Raw genomic sequence first — 21,493 nt, 5'->3', positions numbered from 1 at the left:
GTGTTCCATATTTTGCATAGAGATAAACGCAGTTACAGACCTAAGAAACAATAACAGAACTAGTGAGGAGTCAAAATGCTCTGATAAGGTATCAATAATTTATTCATTCAGCCTTTCAGTCATATTTTTTCTATTGAATCTCTGTTATGTGCTTGACTTTGTGCTAAGTATCAATGCTACAAAAATAAGTATCACAGCCGGGCGCAGTGGCTCACGCCTGTAATCCCAGCACTTTGCGAAGCCGAGGCGGGCGGATCACGAGGTCAGGAGATCGAGACCATCCTGACTAACACGGTGAAACCCCATCTCTACTAAAAATACAAAAAATTAGCTGGGCGTGGTGGCTCGCGCTTGTAGTCCCAGCTACTCGGGAGGCTGAGGCAGGAGAATGGCGTAAACCCGGGAGGCGGAGCTTGCAGTGAGCCGAGACTGCGCCACTGCACTCCAGCCTGGGTGACAGAGCGAGACTCCGTCTCAAAAAAAAAAAAAAAAAAAAAAATGTATCACAATCTCTGTTTTTATGGAACTCATGCTCATAGATAAGTGTGGATTCACAAACTTTATTGGAAGCTGGAAACATTTATGATGCAATACAATGTAGTCTACAATAGAATACACAATGATAAAAAATGAAGGTGAAATAACAGACTGGGAGCAGATTGTGAAGAGCCTTGAATGTGATGACAGGGCTGTGATGATAAGAATTCACTGAACTTTACTTTCGAACAGTAGAATGACTCAAGTAGCAATAGCAAGAAAATGAAGAAAATAATTTACCACAAAGAAAACTATGTAACCTGCTTCTTGAGTATTATTCTCCATTTTAAAGAAATGGAGAAAGAAAGTTATTAAAAACAACCTCTTAGGACTATATCAGCCACTGATCACGATTTTTGAATATCTTTGCCTTGCTTATTTTCTTTTCTTTTTTAGACAGTGTCTTGCTCTGTCGCTCAGGCTGGAGTGCAGTGGTGCAATCTCAGCTCACTGCAAGCTCCTCAGCCTCCCAGGTTCACGCCATTCTCCTGCCTCAGCCTCCCGAGTAGCTGGGACTACAGGCAAATGCCACCACGCCTGGCTAAATTTTTTGTATTTTTAGTAGAGACAGGGTTTCACCGTGTTGGCCAGGATGGTCTGGATCTCCTGACCTCTTGATCCACCCGCCTCGGGCCTCCCAAAGTGCTGGGATTACAGGCTTGTAATCCCGGCCTGCCTTGCTTATTTTCTTAGAGGTGACATCCATTGCTTACTGATATTTTATCCATGGCTCTGGCCCACCTTCAGAGGGCATTCAAGAAATTCATGGAAAAATGTGGGAAATGTTATAAGATATAGATACTTCTATGGGTTTGACTTCAGAAATTTTTTCAAAGGAGATTTATGAGTATATATCTCAAGAAAATTATTTTATTCTATTGGCTCTGTGCTTAAAATAAAAATATGAGATGAAAATGGCTTAGAAGTATAACACCAACAGAAAATTATTATTGAGGTTTTGTTATGAGATACAATTATGAATAACATGAGTAGACTCATTACTATCTTCACCTGAGAACTGGAGAGATGGTGAAACAGAGCTGCATCATGAAAAGAGCATGAAGCCCCTGACATTGATAAGCAAATTAAGTTTCAGGATATAGAATCATGTACAAAAATCAGTAGCATTGTTATACACCGATAGCACTCTAGCTGACAAACAAATCCGGAACACAATCTCATTTATAATAACTACAAAGAAAATTAAATACATAGGAATCCATCTAACCAAGGAGGTGAATGACCTCTACCAGGAGAACTGCAAAATACTGTTGAAAGAGATCAGAGCCAACACAAATAAACAGAAAATATTCCATGCACGTGGAATAGAAGAGTCGATATAGTTAAAATGGTCATATTGCCCAAAGCAATTTATAGTTCAATGCTATTCCTATTAAAAGACCAACGTCACTTTTCACAGAATTAGAAAAATCTATTCTGAAAGTCACTGGGAACCAAAAAAGTGCCTGAATAGCCAAAGCAATCCTAAACAAAAAGAACGAAACTAGAGACATCATACTACTTGACTCCAAACTATATTACAAGGCTACAGTAATAAAAATAGTATAGTACTGGTACAAACATAGACACATAGAACAGTGGAACAGAATAGAGAACCCAGAAATAAACCTGCATGCCTAAAACCTTCTGATCTTTTGCAAAATCAACAACAAAAAAAGCAATGGGAAAAGTACTTCCTATTCAATAAATGGTGTTGGGAAGAATGGAAATGGACCTCTACTTTTCACTATCTATGAAAATTATCTGAAGATGGGTTAAAGATTTAAATGTAAAACCTAACACTATAAAAATGTTAGAAAACCTAGGAAATACCCTTCTCAACATAGGCTTTGGCAAAGAAGTTATGGCTAAATCTCCAAAAGTAATTGCAACAAAACCAAAAATTGACAAGTGGGATCTAATTAAACTAAAGAGCTCCTGCACAGCAAAAGAAATTGCTAACAGAGTAAACAGACAGCCTACAGAATGGAAGAAAATATTTGCACACTATGAATGTGACAACGATCTAATAGCCTGAATCTACAAGGCACTTAAATCAACAAGCAAAAAACAAACAATCCAATTAGAAAATGGGCAAAGGACATAAACAGATACTTCTCAAAAGAATACATACAGCTTGCCAACAAACATATGAAAAAATGTTCAACATCCCTAATCATTAGAGAAATGCAAATCAAAACCACAGTGAGATACCATCTCACAGCAGTCAGAATGGCTATTATTAAAAAGTCAAGACACAACAGATGTGTGATACTGCAGAGGAAAGGGAATGCTTATACATTGAGGGTGGGAGTGAAAATGAGTTTAGCCACTGTGGAGAGCAATTTGGAAATATCTCACAGAACTTAAAAATAGAATTATCATTTGACCCAACGATCCCACTCCTGGGTATGTACCCAGATGAAAATAATTCATTCTGTCTTAAAGACATATGCACCTGTATGCTCACTGTAGCCCTATTCACAAGAGCAAAAACGTGGAATCAACCTAAATGCCCATCAGCAGTAGGTTGAATAAAGAAGATGTCATACATATACACCATGGAATACTATGTAGCCATATAAAACAACAAAATCATGTCCTTTGCAGAAACATGATGGAGCTGGAGGCCATTATCCTAAACAACCTAACACAAGAACCGCAAACCAAGTACTGCATGTTCTCACTTATAAGTAGAAGCTAAACATTGAATACACTTGATTGTAAAGATGAGAACAATAGACACCGGGGATCATTATATGGGAGGGAGGAAGGGGGGCATGGACTGAAGAACCACCTGTCGGGTCCTATGCTTATGTCCTGGGTGACAGGATTGTTGGGACCCCAAGGTTCAGCATCACACAATTTACCTTTATAACAACCTGCATGTGTACCCTTTAATCCATAATAAAAGTTGAATTTTTTTTAAAAAAAGAAAACAGCATGGGATTTGTGGAAGAGATAGATGTAAATGTCAAATTAACAACGGCAAAAGTGCCTAACCCTGCCTGATCTTAATTCTTCATTTGTAAACTGGAGATAATATAGTCATCTTTTTATTGCCCTCAATATTTACCTTGCTGTATTCAAGTATGTATCTATTCTTGGGCATTTATGACACATGTCTATGTTTATTGAATTTCTGTCTCCCCCATTAAAATACAATTTCTACCCATGCAGGAATATTATTAGTCTTGGGTACTGTGAGAAGTAGAATAATGGTCCCCCAAAGATGTCCATCTTCTAATCCTCAGAAGCATTGAATATATTACATTATATGGCAAATGAAACTTAATGTACCAAATTGAATTAAGTTTGCTATCAGCTAACCTTAATTTAGGGACATGATTCAGATTATCCAGGTAATTAAATAGAGAGATGGCAGTGTGAGGACTCAGCTGGGTACTGCTGACTTTGAAGATCAAGGAATGGGTCTACAGGCCAGGGAATGTGTGGGTAACTTCTAGGAGCAGGAAAGAGCAAGAAAATCAATTCTCCCCTAGAACCTTCATTAGGAACACAGATCTGCTGACATGTTGGGTTTAACCAGCTGAGACCCATTTCAGACTCTGACTTCCAGAAATGAACAATAATAAATTTGTATTGTTTTAAGCCATTAAGTTTGTAGCAATTTTTTAAACCAGCAGTGGAGAACTAATATGAACTGAAACACAGCAAAGACTAAATGTCTGGGCGAGTGTGTGCAGGTATATTTTATAAAAGAATAAAAACACAATCACTTAAAATACTAATGCCACAATTTAAGAGGGCACAGAGAGCTACAAGTAAGAGTAAAACACATATACACATGCACAAAGGCCAAGTAGATATGAAAGAGTTTTAATGCAAAATTATTTAGTTAAATTATATCTAATATTTTATACACTGCATATAGAAAGATACATACTATTCTACAGAAAACATTTGAGTGCTAGGGTTTAGAAATACAAAACTGTATATAACATCTTTTTGAGGAAAAAGGGTTTAGAAGGCCTTCTTATTGCTACAGTCATGTTGCTTTTTAATTATTACTTGCTGTATTTCTAAACTATTCTGCTGTTTAGTATTACATGAAGCCCTAGACAACATCACTGAGAGAAATTCATTTTCCAAGATGTATAGTAATTCTGATCAATGCCATCTTTATATCATTATTTTCTCTCCCAGTCACTGCCATCCTCTTCTCTCTGTTTTCCCTCATGTCATCATCACATTTTAGTATTCAATGCATTTAGGATTGAATAATAAATACTAACCACCAAGACACTCAATAATATTATTTCATCACACATTTAAGGCTAAGCACTGCAAGACAAAATGGATAGAAAATAATTAAACATAGGCACAAGGTGAGACCAGGACATCTTTTCATGACACAAAATAATAGATTATTCAATGAATGATGGAGATATATTAAAAATATAGTTCAGCTGGTTTGAAGGGGCTCTAACTGGCCAAATCTGGGACAACTGGAACATACAAATAAAAATGCAAACTAATAAATACGGAATTATTGATGGTGCTAAACTCACACATAAATGCTAAAATTAGTGAGTAAACTTTCATTAAAAAAATACCTATAATCTCATGGTACATCCCCACAAATTAGTTACTAATTACAAAGAAAAAAATATACAGGCATACCTCATTTTACTGCATTTCATTTTTAAAATTGTACTTTGTAGATATTGCATTTTTCACAAATTGAAGGTTTATGGCAACTATGTTGGCAAATCTGTTGGTACCATTTCCAACAGTATGTACTCACTTTGTGTCTCTATGTACATTTTGGTAATTCTCACAATATTTCAAAGTTTTTCATTATTATATTTGTTATGGTGATCTGTGATCAGTAATCTTCAAGGTTACTATTGTAATTGTTTTGGGATGCTAAGAAATGCACCCATATGAGACGGCAAAATTAATCAATAAATGTTGTGACAATAAATGTTCTGACTGCTTCACTGATTGTCTGTTTCTCTGTCTCTCTCCTACTTTTTGGGCCTCCCTATTCCCTGAAATACAACCATATTGAAATTAAGCTAGTTAATAACCCTAAAACGGCATCTAAGTGTTCAAGTGTTAAAGTTCAAGGCACACGTCTTGCACTTTAAAAGCTAAAAATAATTCAGCTTAGTGAGGAAGACATGTTGAAAACCACCATAGGCTGAAAGCTAGGCATCTAGATGTCACCAAACAGATAGCCAAGTTGTGAATGAAAAAACATTCTTCAAGGAAATTAAAAGTGCTATTTCCATAAACACTCAAATGATAAGAAAGTAAAACGGCCTTATCGCTGATATGAAGAAAGTTTTACTGCTCCGGGACAGATCAAACCGGCCACAACATTCCCTTAGGCCAAAGCCTATTCCAAAGCAAGGACCTAACTCTTTTCAAGTCTATGAAGGCTGAGAGAGGTGAGAAAGTTGCAGAAGAAAAGTTTGAAGCTATCAGAAATTGATTCATGATGTTTAAGGAAAGAAGCCATCTCTCTAACATAAAAGTACAAAGTGAAGCAGCAAGTGTTGATGAAAAAGCTGCTTCAAGTTATCCAGAAGAGGTAGATGAGACAATTGTTGAAGGTACTACACTAAACAAGATATTTTTGATGCAGATAAAACAGCCTTCTATTCTAAGAGGATGTCATCTAAGACTTGCATAGCTGGAGAGAAGAAATTGATGCCTGGGTTTCATGCAAAGCTTCAAAGTATAGGCTGACTGTCTTTCTAGGGGCTAATGCAACTGGTGACTAAGTTGAAGCCAATGCTTATTGACCATTTCACAAATTCTAGGGCACTTGACAATTATGCTACATCTACTCTGCCTGTGTTCTCTAAATGAAACAACAAAGCCAGGATCACAGCACATCTGTTTACATCATGGCTTACTAAATATTTCAACCCATTGTTGAGAACCACTGCTCAGAAAAAAAAAATTCCTTTCAAAACATTGCTGCTTATTGACAATGGACATAGTCACCCAAGAGTTCTGATGGAGAGGTACAAGCAGATTACTGTTGTATTTATGCCCACTAACATGTCAATTCTGCAGCCCATGGATCCAGAAGTAATTCTGACTTTCAAGTCTTATTATTTAAGAAATACATTTCATAAGGCTATAGCTGCTATAGATAGTGATTCCTTTATGGATCTAGGAAAAGTAAATTGAAAACATTCTGGAAAGCCTTTATCATTCTAGATGCCTTAAATAACATTTGTGATTCATAAAAGGACTTCAAAATATTAACATTAAGAGTATTATTCCAACCCTTATGGAATATTTTCAAGGGTTCAAAACTTCAGTGGAGGAAATCACTGCAGGTGATTATAGCAAGAGAAGTAGAACTGGAAGTAATAGCAAAAGAAGTAGAATTAGAAGTAAAGCCTGAAGATGCTATTGAATTGCTACAATTTCATGGCAGATATTGAAAGGATGAGGTGTTACTACTTATAAATATGCAAAGAAATTGTTCTCTTGCATTGGAATCTGTTTCTGGTGAATATGCTATAAACAGGGTTGAAATGACAATGAAGATCTTAGAATATTATATAAACCTGCTTAATTAAACAGTGGCAGTGGTTAAGATACTGACTCCTATTTTGAAAGAGGTTCTACTGTGGGTAAAATGCTATCAAACAGCATACCATGCCACAGAGAAATGTTTTATGAAAGGAAGAGTCAACTGAAGTTGCAAACTTCAGTGTTGTCTTACTTTAAGAAATTGCCACAGCCACCCAGTCTTCAATAACCACCACTCTGATCAGTCAGCCAGAATCAACATCAAGGCAAGAACCTCCACCAGCAAAAAAAACTATGACTTGCTGAAGGCTCAGATGATTATTAGTATTCTTTATCAATACAGTATTTTTAATTTAAATATTTACATAGTTTTTTAGGCATAGTGCTATTGCACACTTAATAGACTACAAGATAGTGTAACGATAACATTTATATACACTGGAAAGCAAAACATTTGTGTGACTCATTTTGTTGCATTATTCACCTTATTGTGGTGGTCTGCAATTGAGCCTGAGATATTTCTAGGGTGTCTATAATGTTATGGTGGAGAAATCTAGCAAAACCACCCTAAACAATAAACTAAATGTATTATCGCTAAATTTGGGGAAAAAATATCATGTGCCTCCTGATAGGCTGCACTGAGAAGGAAATAACATCATTTCTGAGGTATTCCTGCCCAAAATATATAAAACCTGAATAATATCATGGAGATATATTAGATAAACCCAAACTGAAAGAAATGCTATAGAAAAACTGGCCTGCATTCTTTCAAAATATTAGACCAAAGAAATTTTTCAAATGAAAGGAATCTAAGAAGAGATGACAAACAAATGCAACATGATTCTGAATTGAGTCCTGAATCAAGGAACAAGAAGCATAAAGGGTATTATTAAGCAATTGACAAAATTTGAATAGGACTGGGGATCAATTAATATTAAATCAATATTAACTGTCCTGATTTACATAATTGCAATATGAGTGAATAAAAGATTATCTTTATTCTTAGGCAATACATACCAAAATGTTTCTAGATAAACGGTTATAGATAAATATGCATTTGCACCTTAGTCTCAAATGGGATGAAATTTAAAAATAGGCGAATGTAGGTGATATACAATGGTTCCTTATTTTATTCTTGCAACTTTTTTGTTTATTTAAAATTACATCAAAATTTTAAGTTATACGTAATAGCAATTAGTTCAGGTTTTATGCCTTCCAGAGAAGCTGACAATGCCAGGTATTGATGAAGACATAGAAACACTGGAGGCAGTACTTAAATTGCTACAACTGCATTGAAGAAAAAGTGATAGTATGTCTAGTGACTTCATGATCTTTATACCTGTGGTAGGCTGAATGCTATCCCATTAATGATTTCTACATTCTAATCTGTTGAACATGTGAATGTGTTACTTTAAATGGCAGAAGGATCTTTGAAACATGATTAAGTTAAAGATTTTAAGCTGGAGAGATAATCCTGAATTATGTAAATGGGCCCAATGTCATGTAAGAGTCTCTCTAAAGGGTGGTAGGAGAGTCAGAGTCAAAGAAGGAGATGTGATAACGTAAGTAAATGGTCAGTATCAGAGAGACTTGAAGATCCTACATACTGGCTTTGAAGATGGAGAAGTGGGCCAGGAACCAAGGAACACAGGCAGCCTGCAGAAACTGGACAACGTAAGCAAACAGATCCTTCCCTCAAGCCTCTGGAGTAAGCGTGGCCCAGCAGTCCCCTTGATTTTGGCCCAGTGAAACCCACTTCAGACCGTGGCCTGCAGAACTCTAAGATAACAAATTTGCACTATTCAAAGCTACTAATTTTGTGGTAATTTGTTACAACAGCAATAGGAAACTAATGTAACAGCGTATGGCCAGTATTTCTATTTCTAGGTATAGGGTTTACAGAAACTCTCATTTGTGTGGCCAAAACATTTAGACATAGTTTGTAATAGAAATATTGGCACCATTGAATGTCCACCAATGGGGAAATAGATAGTCTAGTCATCTGATGAAACACCAAAAGACTGAATCAGGAAATATGTCGACATAGATAAATCACAAAAATACAATGTTGAGTGAAACAAAATAAAGATTTGCTCTTTGAAATGTAGGTTCAAAAGGATATCATATATGTAAATTCTTAAAACATTAAAAACATTATTCTCTATTAAGGATGCTTGTATATACAAAAATGTATTTTTATAACATGAAATCATATATGCACAGCATACGCATCCAGTGAAGTGTCACATCTGAAAGAAGGGTAGTGAAATTGAGGAAAAAATATCCAGGAGATTCAACCAAATAAATGTAACAATTAGTAAGACTTGCTTAATGAATATGTCCAGTGAGGAGAGAGAAGTCAGTTAGACTTTGGTATTTTTAACTCAAAAAAGTGAATATTTGTTGATAACTAAGCAAGAGTGGGAATAAAGCAGAGCATGTTTAGGGGGAGAACATAATTGTGTTTATTTCAGCCTCTAAAGTTTGAGCATTTTCTCTAAGATATTTACAAAGGGTGATAATAGGGCTGTATAAAAGTTGCTGGAACTTTCTTGAACAAAAGCTTGGACTCCAGAAAATACGTGGGGTGTCAGAAAAGAAGACAATAGAGTGTTTGCTGCTATTGTTGTTGTTTGGCTATAGCACAGCTTACATGCAAGGGAGGGGGATTAAAACGCTCTCAGAATGTAATTTGGGTATCAAGTATTTTAAGGGTCGTAAACTCTAAGCCTGAGACCTATGATCCTGGAACCAGGAATTTTTCACTATCACACAAATTTTAGGGTATTATGTTAATCTGCACCATAAGACATTTCTAAATGTTCAACTTGCTGAGAAAATGGTTAAAATTGCTTTCAGGTACAATATTTTATTTAAAATTTTTTTATTCTTTTCTTTTCTTTTTTGCCTTAGAACACTACAGAAAAATGTGTTCATAAACTTCAAGACCTTTTAAGATATCAAACAGATTTTTAAAGTCAATGAATAATAATGAAAATGACCTAAGAGGCTTTCTGCTCTATCTTTCTGCCAGCATATTGTTGTTCATATTAATATACTTTGCTGCATGTTATCTACTTTGGCTTAAAAATCCACTAGGGATAAAACTATTGAAGTAATTTGCAATTTCTTCCCTTGTCAAGTCATCACTGTGGGTCAGATCAATTTCTGTTATTTTCATAGTAAATTCTGCTTTCTCTTAAATTTAGCTTATATAGATCTTGGCTTAGCTCCTAAAAGAGAAAGTGATTTCTTCCTATCCTTAAGGCATATTTATTTCATCTTTCTGTATACTTTCTAGATAGTTCATTATCAAATTATATGATACTATACAAACCCAGCAATGTAAATATTTCTTTATAAATTAGTCTTCTTGTGACTCCCTCCTACCATACCCATTATGTTGCACAAGAAGAGCCTAGGATATCACCAAGATGTTGCCTTCTCTGTTTCTTCTCATTTATTGGTATTTGGTTCAAAAAATAGTGCTGGCCACCTACTTATATAATATAAAAATAACAGTTACTTAAGAAAGAATTTAAAAATTTTTTTAACTGCCAAACAAAAATTATGGTGACACCGGTTTGAATCTGTGTTCCTACCCAAATCTCACATCAAATTGTAATCTCCAGTGTTGGAAATGGAGCCCAGGGGGAGGTGATTAGATCACGAGGACTGTTTCCCATGATTGGTTTATCACCATCCTCTTGGTATTGTCCTCATGGTACTGAGTGAATTCTCACAAAATTAGGTTGTTTAAAAGTGTGTAGCACCACCTCCACCCTCTCTCTTGCTCCTGCTCCTGCCAGGTAAGATACCTGTTTCTCCTTTGCCTTCTGCTATAATTGGAAGCTTCCTGGGACCTCCCCAGTAGCAGAAGCTTCTATGTTTCCTGTATAGCCTGCAAAACCATGAGCCAATTAAACCTCTTTTCTTATTACCCAACCTAAGGTATTTATTTATAGCAATGGGAGAATGGCCTAATATATATGGCTTTTTCAATCTTCATTTTAAAAGCATGTTTAGGATTTGTGTGTGTGTGTTTGTGTGTGTGTGAATGTGGAAGAATCATCTTTGTAGGTTAGGACTCTAGTTGCCTGGGAAAAACAATGTTGGCCAGAGGCAGTTATTGTACATACTGTGTTTAAGTCACCAGTATTTTTATTTACAAAGAAAATCCTACCTAATTTGGGGTGTATTTAGGGTTTACTAGTCCTTTACACAAATCAATTTAAAAGCAAAATGGGATTCTTATAGGAAAAAAGAGAAATGTGAAGGAGAAGGTCAAACTAGATAAGAAACGGAAGAAGTATTTGTGATCATCTTTAGAGCATTGTTTCTCTAAGACTTGATTCCAACTAGTTTCCCATTGTCATAGCAATGCACTATTTATGAGCTGAATCCCAATTTATCTATCCTTGCTCATGCCTCTGGCATGTTTTTATCTCTAATGTATAGCATCTTTCAATATATTATCATTCCATGAGTGTCTTTGTTATTTTCCCTTCCAGGTCTTTTCTAATGGAATGCTACCCATGTTAAATACAACCCTGTTTGTCTTCCAAAAGAATCTTGGTGTTGTTTCACCAAGTGAAACTACAAAGAATAAAAACTAGCCCAGTATGCTTAGATTCTTTTAAATTAAAATGTCCTGATCCATATACTGAGAAATGTAAAAGAATCCAAATTAAAAATATGTGAATTATCCTTTCCCTCCATTAATGTGCCAATTCCATCATCAGAAGCAATTATGTAGGTTTCGTTTACATGTTCCTTATTAACCTATGTATGTCTCATTCGTGCCTAATTATGCAGTGGATATTTGGAGGATTTCTTCAGTGATTTTTTTCTAATATTTAACTGATTATTAAAAATTAAAATTTAGCAGATGTTAACATTTCAATTCTAAGTAATTTAGGTCAACATTAGTTGTAAATATTAATACACAAATACCTCAAACATGTTGCAGGTCCAGTTCAAGACCACCACAATAAAATGAATATCACAATAAAGCAAGTCACACAAATTTTTTGGTTTCACAGTGGATATAAAAGTTATGTTTACACTATACTGTAGACTATTAACTATGTAAAAGCATTATGTCTAAAAAAATACCTATCTTAATTAAAAATACTTTATTGCTGAAAAATGCTGATGATCATCTGAGCCTTCCATGAGTCATGATATTTTTGCTGGTAGAGAATCTTGCCTTGATGTTGATGGCTGGCTTCTAACTTATCAGAGTGGTGGTTGCTGAAAGCTGAAGTGGCTATGGCAATTTCTTAAAATAAGGCTAATAAATTTTGCTACATGGAATGACTCTCCCTTTCACAAAAGATTTTTCTATGGCATGTGATGCTGTTTGATAGCATTTTACTCAGAGTAGAGCTTTTTTCAAAATTGAAGTCAATCTCATATCCTGCTGCTGCTTTGTCAACTAGGTTTATATCATATTCTAAGTTTTTCATTGTCATTTCAACAATGTTCACAGCATTTCACCAGGAGTAGATTTCATCTAAAGAAATCACTTCCTATGTTGATCCACAGAAGCAACTCCTCATCTGTTCAAGTTTTATTATGAGATTGCAGCAATTCACTCACATCTTTAGGCTCTATTTCTAATTCTAGTTCTGTTCTGTTGCTATTTCCACCATATTTGCAGTGACTTCCTCCCCTGAAGTTTTGAACCCCTGAAAGTCTTCCATGAGGGTTGGAAACAACTTCTTCCACATACCTCTTAATGTTGATATCTAAACATCCTTCATGGATCACAAATGTTCTTTACGTAATCTAGAATAACAAATCCTTTCTAAAAAGTTTTCAATTTACTTTTTCTAGATTCATAAAGGAATAACTGTCTATGGCAGCTATAGCCTTACTAAATGTTATTTTTTAAAAAATAATACTTGAAAGTCAAAATTATTTCTGGATCCATGGGCTGCAGAATGGGTGTGTATTAGTAGGCATGAAAACAGCAGTAATCTCCTCGTACATCTCCATCAGAACTCTTGGGTGAACTAATGCATTGACAATGAGCAGTAATGTTTTGAAAGAAATTCTTTTTTCTGAGCAGTGAGTCTCAATGGTTGGTAAAAAATATTTAGTAAACCATTATGTAAACAGGTATACTGTGATCCTGGCTTTGTTTCATTTAGAGAATACAGGCAAAGTAGGCTTGGCATAACTGTTAAGATCTCTAGGATTTTGGAATGTTTGATAAGCGTTGAACTTCAACTTAAAGTTACAAGTTGCACTAGCCCCCAGGAAGAGAATCATTCTAAACTTTGAAGTTTTGCATCAAACCCAGGTATCAATTTCTCCTCTCTAGCTATGCAAGTCCTAGATGGCATCTGCTTTGAGTAGAAGGCTGTTTCATCTACATTGAACATATCTTGAATAGTGTAGTCAGCTTCAACAATTGCCGAGCTAGGTCCTCTCAATAATTTGCTGCAGCAAATTATTGAGACACCAGTATTCACTGCATCACCTTGCACTTTTATGTTATAGAGATGGCTTCTTTTCTTAAAACTCATGAACAAATTTCTTCTAGCTTCCAACTTTTCTTCTATGGCTTTCTCACTTCTCTCAGTCTTCATAGAATTGAAAAGAGTTTTTTTTTGTTTTGTTTTGTTTTTTTTTAAGAATTGAAAAGAGTTAAAAATCCTTGCTCTGGATTAGGCTTTGGCTTAAGGGAATGTTGTGGTTAGTTTGGTCTTCTGTCCTGATCAGTACAACTTTCTTCATATCAGTAATAAGGAAGTTTTGCTTTCTTATTATTTGTGTGTTTACTGGAGTAGCACTTTTAATTTTCTTCAGCATGTTTTCTGTTCATTCCCAAATTCACTAGCTGTTTGGTGACATCCAGACACCTAGCTTTTGGCATATGTTGGTTTTCAACATGGCCTTCCTCATTAAGCTGAATCATTTCTAGCTTTTGATTTAAAGTGCAAGACATGTGACTCTTCCTTTCACCTGAACACTTACATGCCATTGGAGGGTTATTAACTGGCTTAATTTCAATATGATTGTATCTCAGGAAATAGGGAGGTCCAAAGAGGATGAGAGGGATGAGGGAACAGTCAACCAGTAGAGCAGTCAAAACACACTCTATCTTTATGGATTAAATTTGCTGTCTCATATGGATGCATTTCTTAGTACCCCGAAACAATTACAATAGTAATCTCAAAGATTACTGATCACAGATCATCATAACAGATATAACAATTAAAATGATTGAAACAATATGTTGAGACTTGCCAACATGTGACACAGAAACATGAAGTGAGCCCATGCTGTTGGAAAAAAATGGCACCAAAGACTTACTTGATGCATTTTATCCACAAACCTCAATTTGTAAAAAAGCATATCTGTAAAACACAGTAAAGTGAATAGCAATCAAATCAGGTATGCCAGTATATATTAATGGAAATGTAACAGCCAATGTCATTTATTTCATTTTGAAGTATTTTTTCAAATAGTTGACAAAAACCATGCTACACTATTGATATAGTTTTGTTGTGTCCCCACCCAAATCTCACCTTGAATTGTAATAATCCCACTTGTCAAGGGCAGGGCCAGGTGCAGATAATTGAATTATGGGGGGGGGTTCCCCAATACTGTTCTCATGGCAGTGAATAAATTTCTTGAGATCTGGTGGTTTTATAAATGGGAGTTCCCCTGCACAAGCTCTCTTGCCCGCCACCATGTAAGACATGCCTTTGTTTCTCCTTTGCCTTCCACCATGCTTGTGAGGCCTCCCCAGCCACATGGAACTGTGAGTCCATTAAACCTCTTTCTTTTATAAATTACCCAGTCTCTAGTGTGTCTTTATTAGCAGCGTAAGAACAGACTAATACAACTATTATACCTGTCTGTCACTTTTTGTCAGCATCACTCTCTGAACTACATGGACATAAGAAACTTTGCTCTGTAATACAAATTATGGTAAAGTGGTGTTAGAGTAGCTATCAATTTTCACTTACATTCATATTTCTATAGATACACATAATAGATTTACAGTAAACTTTATTTTCTTTTTTATCTCTCTTTGTATGGGATTTAATAAAATACAAGTTTTGTAAATCTTCTGCGTATGTGTTCATTGCATATGCTGATTATGGGAGACCAGTATAAAAAATCTCCACGTAGCATTTAAGCTCCTTGATAATATAAAATATCAATATAGCAATCCTGAGAACAACCGTATGGATAATAAACAGTTTATGACTTTTAGGTTTGTACATAAGACAAGCCAAACTTTGCAGGTATGTAGGTTGCATGTTTTTAGTAAGAAAGCTGAACATGAAGTATCAGTACATACTTTGCTGAGAATTAGCATATGCTTATTTTTTTCGTGTGTGTTCCCACAAAAACAATAGAAGAACACCTGTCTGTGAGTGTCAGGATTAAAGAAAGAAATGTTTAGAGTCCTTAACTTCTTCCCTAAGAGAAATATTTAAAGAAATTAGAAAATTTTCTCCCCTTAGAACAATCATAAAGTTCTTCCTATAGTAGATTCATTGTAGATTCTGAAAATCAAGATGAATCTGCCCACAAACCTAAGCCTGTTCTGCCTCACCTCCAGGACTCAAGACTGTTCAAATCATTAAATAATTTCACATTTGACAGAAGGCATAGCAGCGTGGAAAGAGTCAAATAATATTAGCTATTATGATTTATAAAGATAAAATAAATACAGACCTACAGAGAACTTAAGGACCTTTTTCCCTGTGAGGAGAAGAAATATTACAACATTTAAACATATTATTTATGTAACTTGGGTAAATATTATTTATTTAATTTGTTATATACAATATATATAATTTTGAAGCTATATAATGCATATCCTAAATCAATGAACAGATATATATTATCTACTGTGTAAAGAACTGTGTGATAGGCATTATGGGATAGTCCATGTGGTAGACAGAATTCTAAGACAGTTCTCAAGATTCCTGCCCCCCTGGTGTGTGTATACATATATATATCTCATATCATCCTTTTCCCTGAATGTGAGCAGAAGACATGGATATGATGCGATATCACTCCAGGGATTTTTCAGGTATAATGATGTTAAAAATAAGTTAACCTTATTTAATCAAAGTCAATTTACTGGGTCAACAGGAAAGGAGAAATTAACAGAAGGAAATAGAAAGGAGATGGCAATGTTTCTATTGGCATAGAAATAGCACAAGCTATTCCAAGCCTAGGAAATTCAAAGGGAGCTAAAAGGGTAGCTCATGGAGAAGAAAATACAGTGGTCCTCACTGGGCCTTCATGGGCTCTGGGAACACCGGCAGCAGGTTTAGTTTAGGAATTTTCTTAGAGTGACTCTAGAGATAGGACAAAAGTCTGTGCACATTGATTTTGATTAAAAAGCTCATTTGGTCCTTTCTTGCCCCCCTTGATATCTTCGTCAGACGCTTCCACAACCAACTGCCTAAATATATTTATATTACTACTCGGCTCTGTCCCTAACACATTCTTGCTTTATTTTATCTCTGTACCTTTGCAAACACTGTTTAGCTCATTTTTACTCTTTCCCAGTCAGTCTGAATTAACCTCTTCGTCTGTATTTATAAGAAGCTTCCAGGCCGGGCGCGGTGGCTCACGCCTGTAATCCCAGCACTTTGGGAGGCCGAGGCGGGCGGATCACGAGGTCAGGAGATCGAGACCATCCTGGCTAACCTGGTGAAACCCCGTCTCTACTAAAAATACAAAAAAATTAGCCGGGCATGGTAGCGGACGCCTGTAGTCCCAGCTGCTTGGGAGGCTGAGACAGGAGAATGACATGAACCTGGGAGGCGGAGCTTGCAGTGAGCCGAGATCGCGCCACTGCACTCCAGCCTGGGCGAGAGAGAGATTCCGACTCAAAAAAAAAAAAAAAAAAAAAAAAAAGCTTCCATCAGATACAGCGAATCTCTTTGTCATAGCACTAAGCCACTGTTTTGTGATTATCTATTACCTTATCTGTCTCCCTCACTCTACTATGGACTCATTGAATTTACGTAACAGGTCTTTAATCTCTGTACCTTTAGTTTACCAGACATTGTCTGACACATATTAAGGGAATATTACTTTTTTTTTTTTTTGAGACGGAGTCTCGCCCTGTCGCCCAGGCTGGAGTGCAATGGCACAATCTCGCCTCACTGAAACCTCTACCTCCCAGGTTCAAGCGATTCTGCCTCAGCCTCCCGAGTACCTGGGATTACAGGCGCCTGCCACCACGGCCGGCTAACTTTTTGTATCTTTAGCAGAGACGGGGTTTCACCATGTTGGCCAGGCTGGTCTCGAACTCCTGACCTTGTGATCCACCCTCCTCGGCCTTTCAAAGTGCTGGGATTACAGGCGTAAGCCACCGTGCCTGGCCTAAGTGAATACTGCATTTATGAGTGAATTGATATAAAACACATGCTTCACAGTCCGAGTAACCACAAACATCAGTTTTTAAAAACAATTTGAATAGTTACACAGTCTTCATTCTGTCAGCTTCACTTCCTTAGGGTTAAAAGACACAGATATTTTATGAAGATCATTAAAATAGCTGGTGGTGCAATTCAACGGAGGTCTTGGGAAAAAGAAAGTCAGAACCACACAGAAGTGCCGCAATTGGAAGCAGGGTCAATATGGTGTGACAAGACCAAATGAGGATAAAGGAAATTGCAGCAAAGGCTATACTAAGAGATTTGCCAAAAATTGTGCATATGGATTTTTTTCTTTTGGTCTAATTTTGCTATTTCTCTAGTATGCAAATGTCAAGCATAAAGCACTATGAATGGTGCATGGAAACATCAGCAGATCTCTCTAAATGTAATCCTGCTGCTAGAACAGACTTTATTTTGATATATGACAATACCTTCTGATCTTTTTCCCCTTGTTCTTCATTATGGAGTACATTTCCAGGATAATAGGATGTCTCTCTTTCAGTAGCACATCTGTTCCTGTTCCATTGTCTTCACTTGAAATCATAATTTGCTCTTTGGGAATGTACAATTGGTGGCAAGTAGAGATGATTATGATGTAATAAACAGAAATGATGACTTCAGGTGGGTAATAATAGTTAAGAAACCAAAGATTTTGCTTCCAAGTAAATTCTCCTGCTGATTAAAATGAGAAAAAAGGAAGCCAAAGTATGTGTAATGCCTGAGCAGAATGGCCTTAGAATTGAATGACTACTCAATCAGATCTTCTCTCATTTGAGGTTGTCTATTTCTTATGGTTTGTGTCACAGCTGTTGTGACTAAATACATTTATTATTTTCATATACATATATTTTAAATCACCTCCAGGTTATTGTTGCCTTGTGTGAAGGTAGAAACTTTCTTTCGAATTGACTTGGAATGGCTTTTGGCTGAAACACTTTGTTTTGTGACATTAGATTACTTAGTTATTTTGAGCTTCAATGCCTTCCTCAGTAAAACTTCAAAAAAAATATAATCTTCTTTGTTCTTAAATTTTAGATAATATTTTTAAAACACTTACCAGAGTGTCTGACCCATGAAAGTCTTCAATATATGGCAGTTGTGATAGTTATCCTTCTGTGAAAAATCATCCCAATCGTCATATGTTAGCTGTCTTTAGTATTTAGTATTAAGCCGCATCTTCTCCAGTGTTGGTTTCAGGCCCCATAGCTCTGATTCCACATTTTCCCTTTCAGCTCTGGTAATCTAACTTCCATTTTCCTACCTGCTTATACTCATCTGACCAAAGATTGGCTTCTGCCCAACTGAATTTCCACAAAACAGCATTTCAAACGCTTAAAAAACTGATAGGTCCTTCTTAAATAAAAAAAAATTCTTATGGAGCACTAGTTTTGACTTCAATTATGTTTATTATTAAGCTGCTGCTGCTGCTTCTTTTTTTTTTTTTTTTTTTTTAGTCAGAGTCTTACTCTGTGGCCCAAGCTGGAGTGCAGTGGTGCAATCGCGGCTCACTGCAACCTCCGCCTCCAGGGCTCAAGCGATTCTCGTGCCCAGCCTCCTGAGTAGCTGGGACTACAGACTCACGCCACCATGCCCAGCTAATTTTTTGTATTTTAGTAGAGACGGGGTTTCACCATGTTGCCCAGGGTGGTCTTCAACTCCTGATTTCAGGAGATCCACCCGCCTCGGCTTCCCAAAGGGTTGGGATTACAGGCGTGAGCCACTACGCCTGGCCTATTATGCTTCTTAAATAAATAAATACACACACAAAATTAAGTATAGATTATTTGTGTTTAAAAATTCTTTATACTTATAAATAACAACAAAATGAACAAATTAATGACAAAAATTCTACCAAATTAAAAAAAGAAAACTAAATGTAAACATTATCCTGAGTCTTCTAAAACCCACACATTAATTTTAGCTCTCTGTGTGTGTGTGTGTGTGTGTGTGTGTGCGCGCGCGCGCACGCACGCGCACATACGCAGGCGTGCATCTGTGTGCTTTGTTTGCTTTAATCTTAGGGAAATGGAATTATAACATGTATACTCTTTTGTGACTGGCTTCTTTTCCTGATCATTATGTTTGTGATACCTACTCATTTGTCTCTAGGATGAATAAATTCTTACCATTTTGCCTTCTCCTGTGTTATTAGCTCAATAATTAATTTCTCAGAAATGGATATATTACTGGTCTTTTTGGTGGATATTGTAAGATACCATGGGCTTGCCTTTCAGGAATGATGGACTTATTCTCCCAGCTGCTGATAGTGCTGTCAGCAGAAAGCCCTAGCTGACAACCCACGTGAGGGCTGCTTAGCTGAAGAAAGCTGAATGCTCTTTTATTGGAGTGGTTTGGATAGAATGACTGACCCAGGGCTCTAAAGACTCATTCCCCTTATCCTAACTCAGTACAACACTGAAGGGTTATTCTAGCTCCAGAATTCTCTGCGGCATCAGCAGAGGTCTCCATCGAGGCTATGTAGCAGCCCAATTCTCCCTCTGTCTACTCCTGCTTCCTTCCTTTCCAAGAATATTCCCCAATCAACTTAGTGCATGCCAAACTCATTCTTAGAGTCTGCTTCCTTCAGAATCCAAAGTGTGACAGCCATGATCAGGTAACCCGAGACAGTCAGAGAAATTCTTCTGGTTTGCATGCATTTAGATGCTTCCATATGATCTAGTTATCTAAATTAATTAACCTATAAAAATTAAAGAGAAGTCATCTCTCAATAAGATAAATAGAGCATTAAGCTGATTGATTGCAAATACTAATAGAAATTTACTCTAGGCAAGGATAGAAGAGGCAGGACATAACAGACAATTTTCCTTTCTGGAAAAAGGAGAAAGTGTCTTGCATCCACTTTTGGTAGACCTGGACTCAACTATTTGTAGCTTTAATGCTAGCCCCTGTACATACTATATTTGAAATTATGTAAAGTATCCATTTTAATACACTGTAAATATGATTTGAGATAACGTATTTGTGTAACTATACACAAAGACACATTTCTTAAATCTAGAAAACCACAAACAAAAATAACTTCTTTTTCTAAGTAAAGATGTTTACTATATATGCTAATTTCAGTCTTCCTCCGGGACTAAAAGATTTGTTTATACTTAAACAGCATTTATACTCATTTATACTAACTTCAAAAAGTAAAGGCACTGCCAAAAGATGAAGTATGTATTGATTTTAAAACCACCAAGTATACCAAATCAGAATGAATTTAGTGACAAAATATTGCTGTAGTTGGATGGATCATTAACCCCTTAAATGCACTGAATGTAAAGTAGGCAGAGAATGGAAGAATAACTAAAAAGTATCCAGAACACTGCCTAGAAGAGAGTAAATATCCAAACAACAGTAGTTTTATTTCTCCATTCCTACTGCTTATTATACTATTACACAAATAAACATGTATATAAGCAAACACACATGCACACCTATACATATACACATACACACAACGCACACACACATCCTAGTCTTTTCAGGCTTTTGTGACCCTTGGCTATTACCGCACATAACCATTTTATTTTGTATTTCATATAATAATTTACAAACAAAAATAATATGTCTCATAATTCAGTTAATATCATCAAACAATTAAACTTATGGTGATATTTTTGCATCATTATTATAAAAACTAAAGAATTAGATCAAGATAGTTTATAACAGAAACAATAGTCCAATTCTTGCTTTTTTCTATTAAAAACCTGGATATATTTCCTAATCAAGCCTAGCATACAAAATTACATTAATAGAAGAATCAAAATGTATTGTGTTATTTACCTAATTGTGATTCTCAACAGACTCTTTGTTTTCAGAATATTTTAGTGAATTTCCATTATTTCTTATAAATATCTAGCTTCATAATTTCCACAGATTTGACAGGAAGGTGACAAATACCAAATTGATCCTCACCATTTTGCCTGGTTTAATAGTATTGTGTAGATGAGATTAACATTAACATATAATAATATATAAAGTTAGTTCACAGGGTGTGTTTAAAT

At 36.0% G+C, this 21,493-nt stretch overlaps 1 long non-coding RNA gene across 2 annotated transcripts in view; it reads right to left on the bottom strand.

The window, feature by feature from the left end:
- LOC105376987 (uncharacterized) overlaps window positions 1–21,493 on the bottom strand; it is a 108,868-nt gene that overhangs the window by 64,870 nt on the left and 22,505 nt on the right. The window lies entirely within an intron of this gene.

This window comes from Homo sapiens, chromosome 3 (genome assembly GCF_000001405.40).
Source record: "Homo sapiens chromosome 3, GRCh38.p14 Primary Assembly".
NCBI classification, from domain to species: Eukaryota; Metazoa; Chordata; class Mammalia; order Primates; family Hominidae; genus Homo; species Homo sapiens.
Note: the sequence above shows the minus strand (reverse complement) of the source record. Positions and strands in the feature narration are given on the sequence as shown.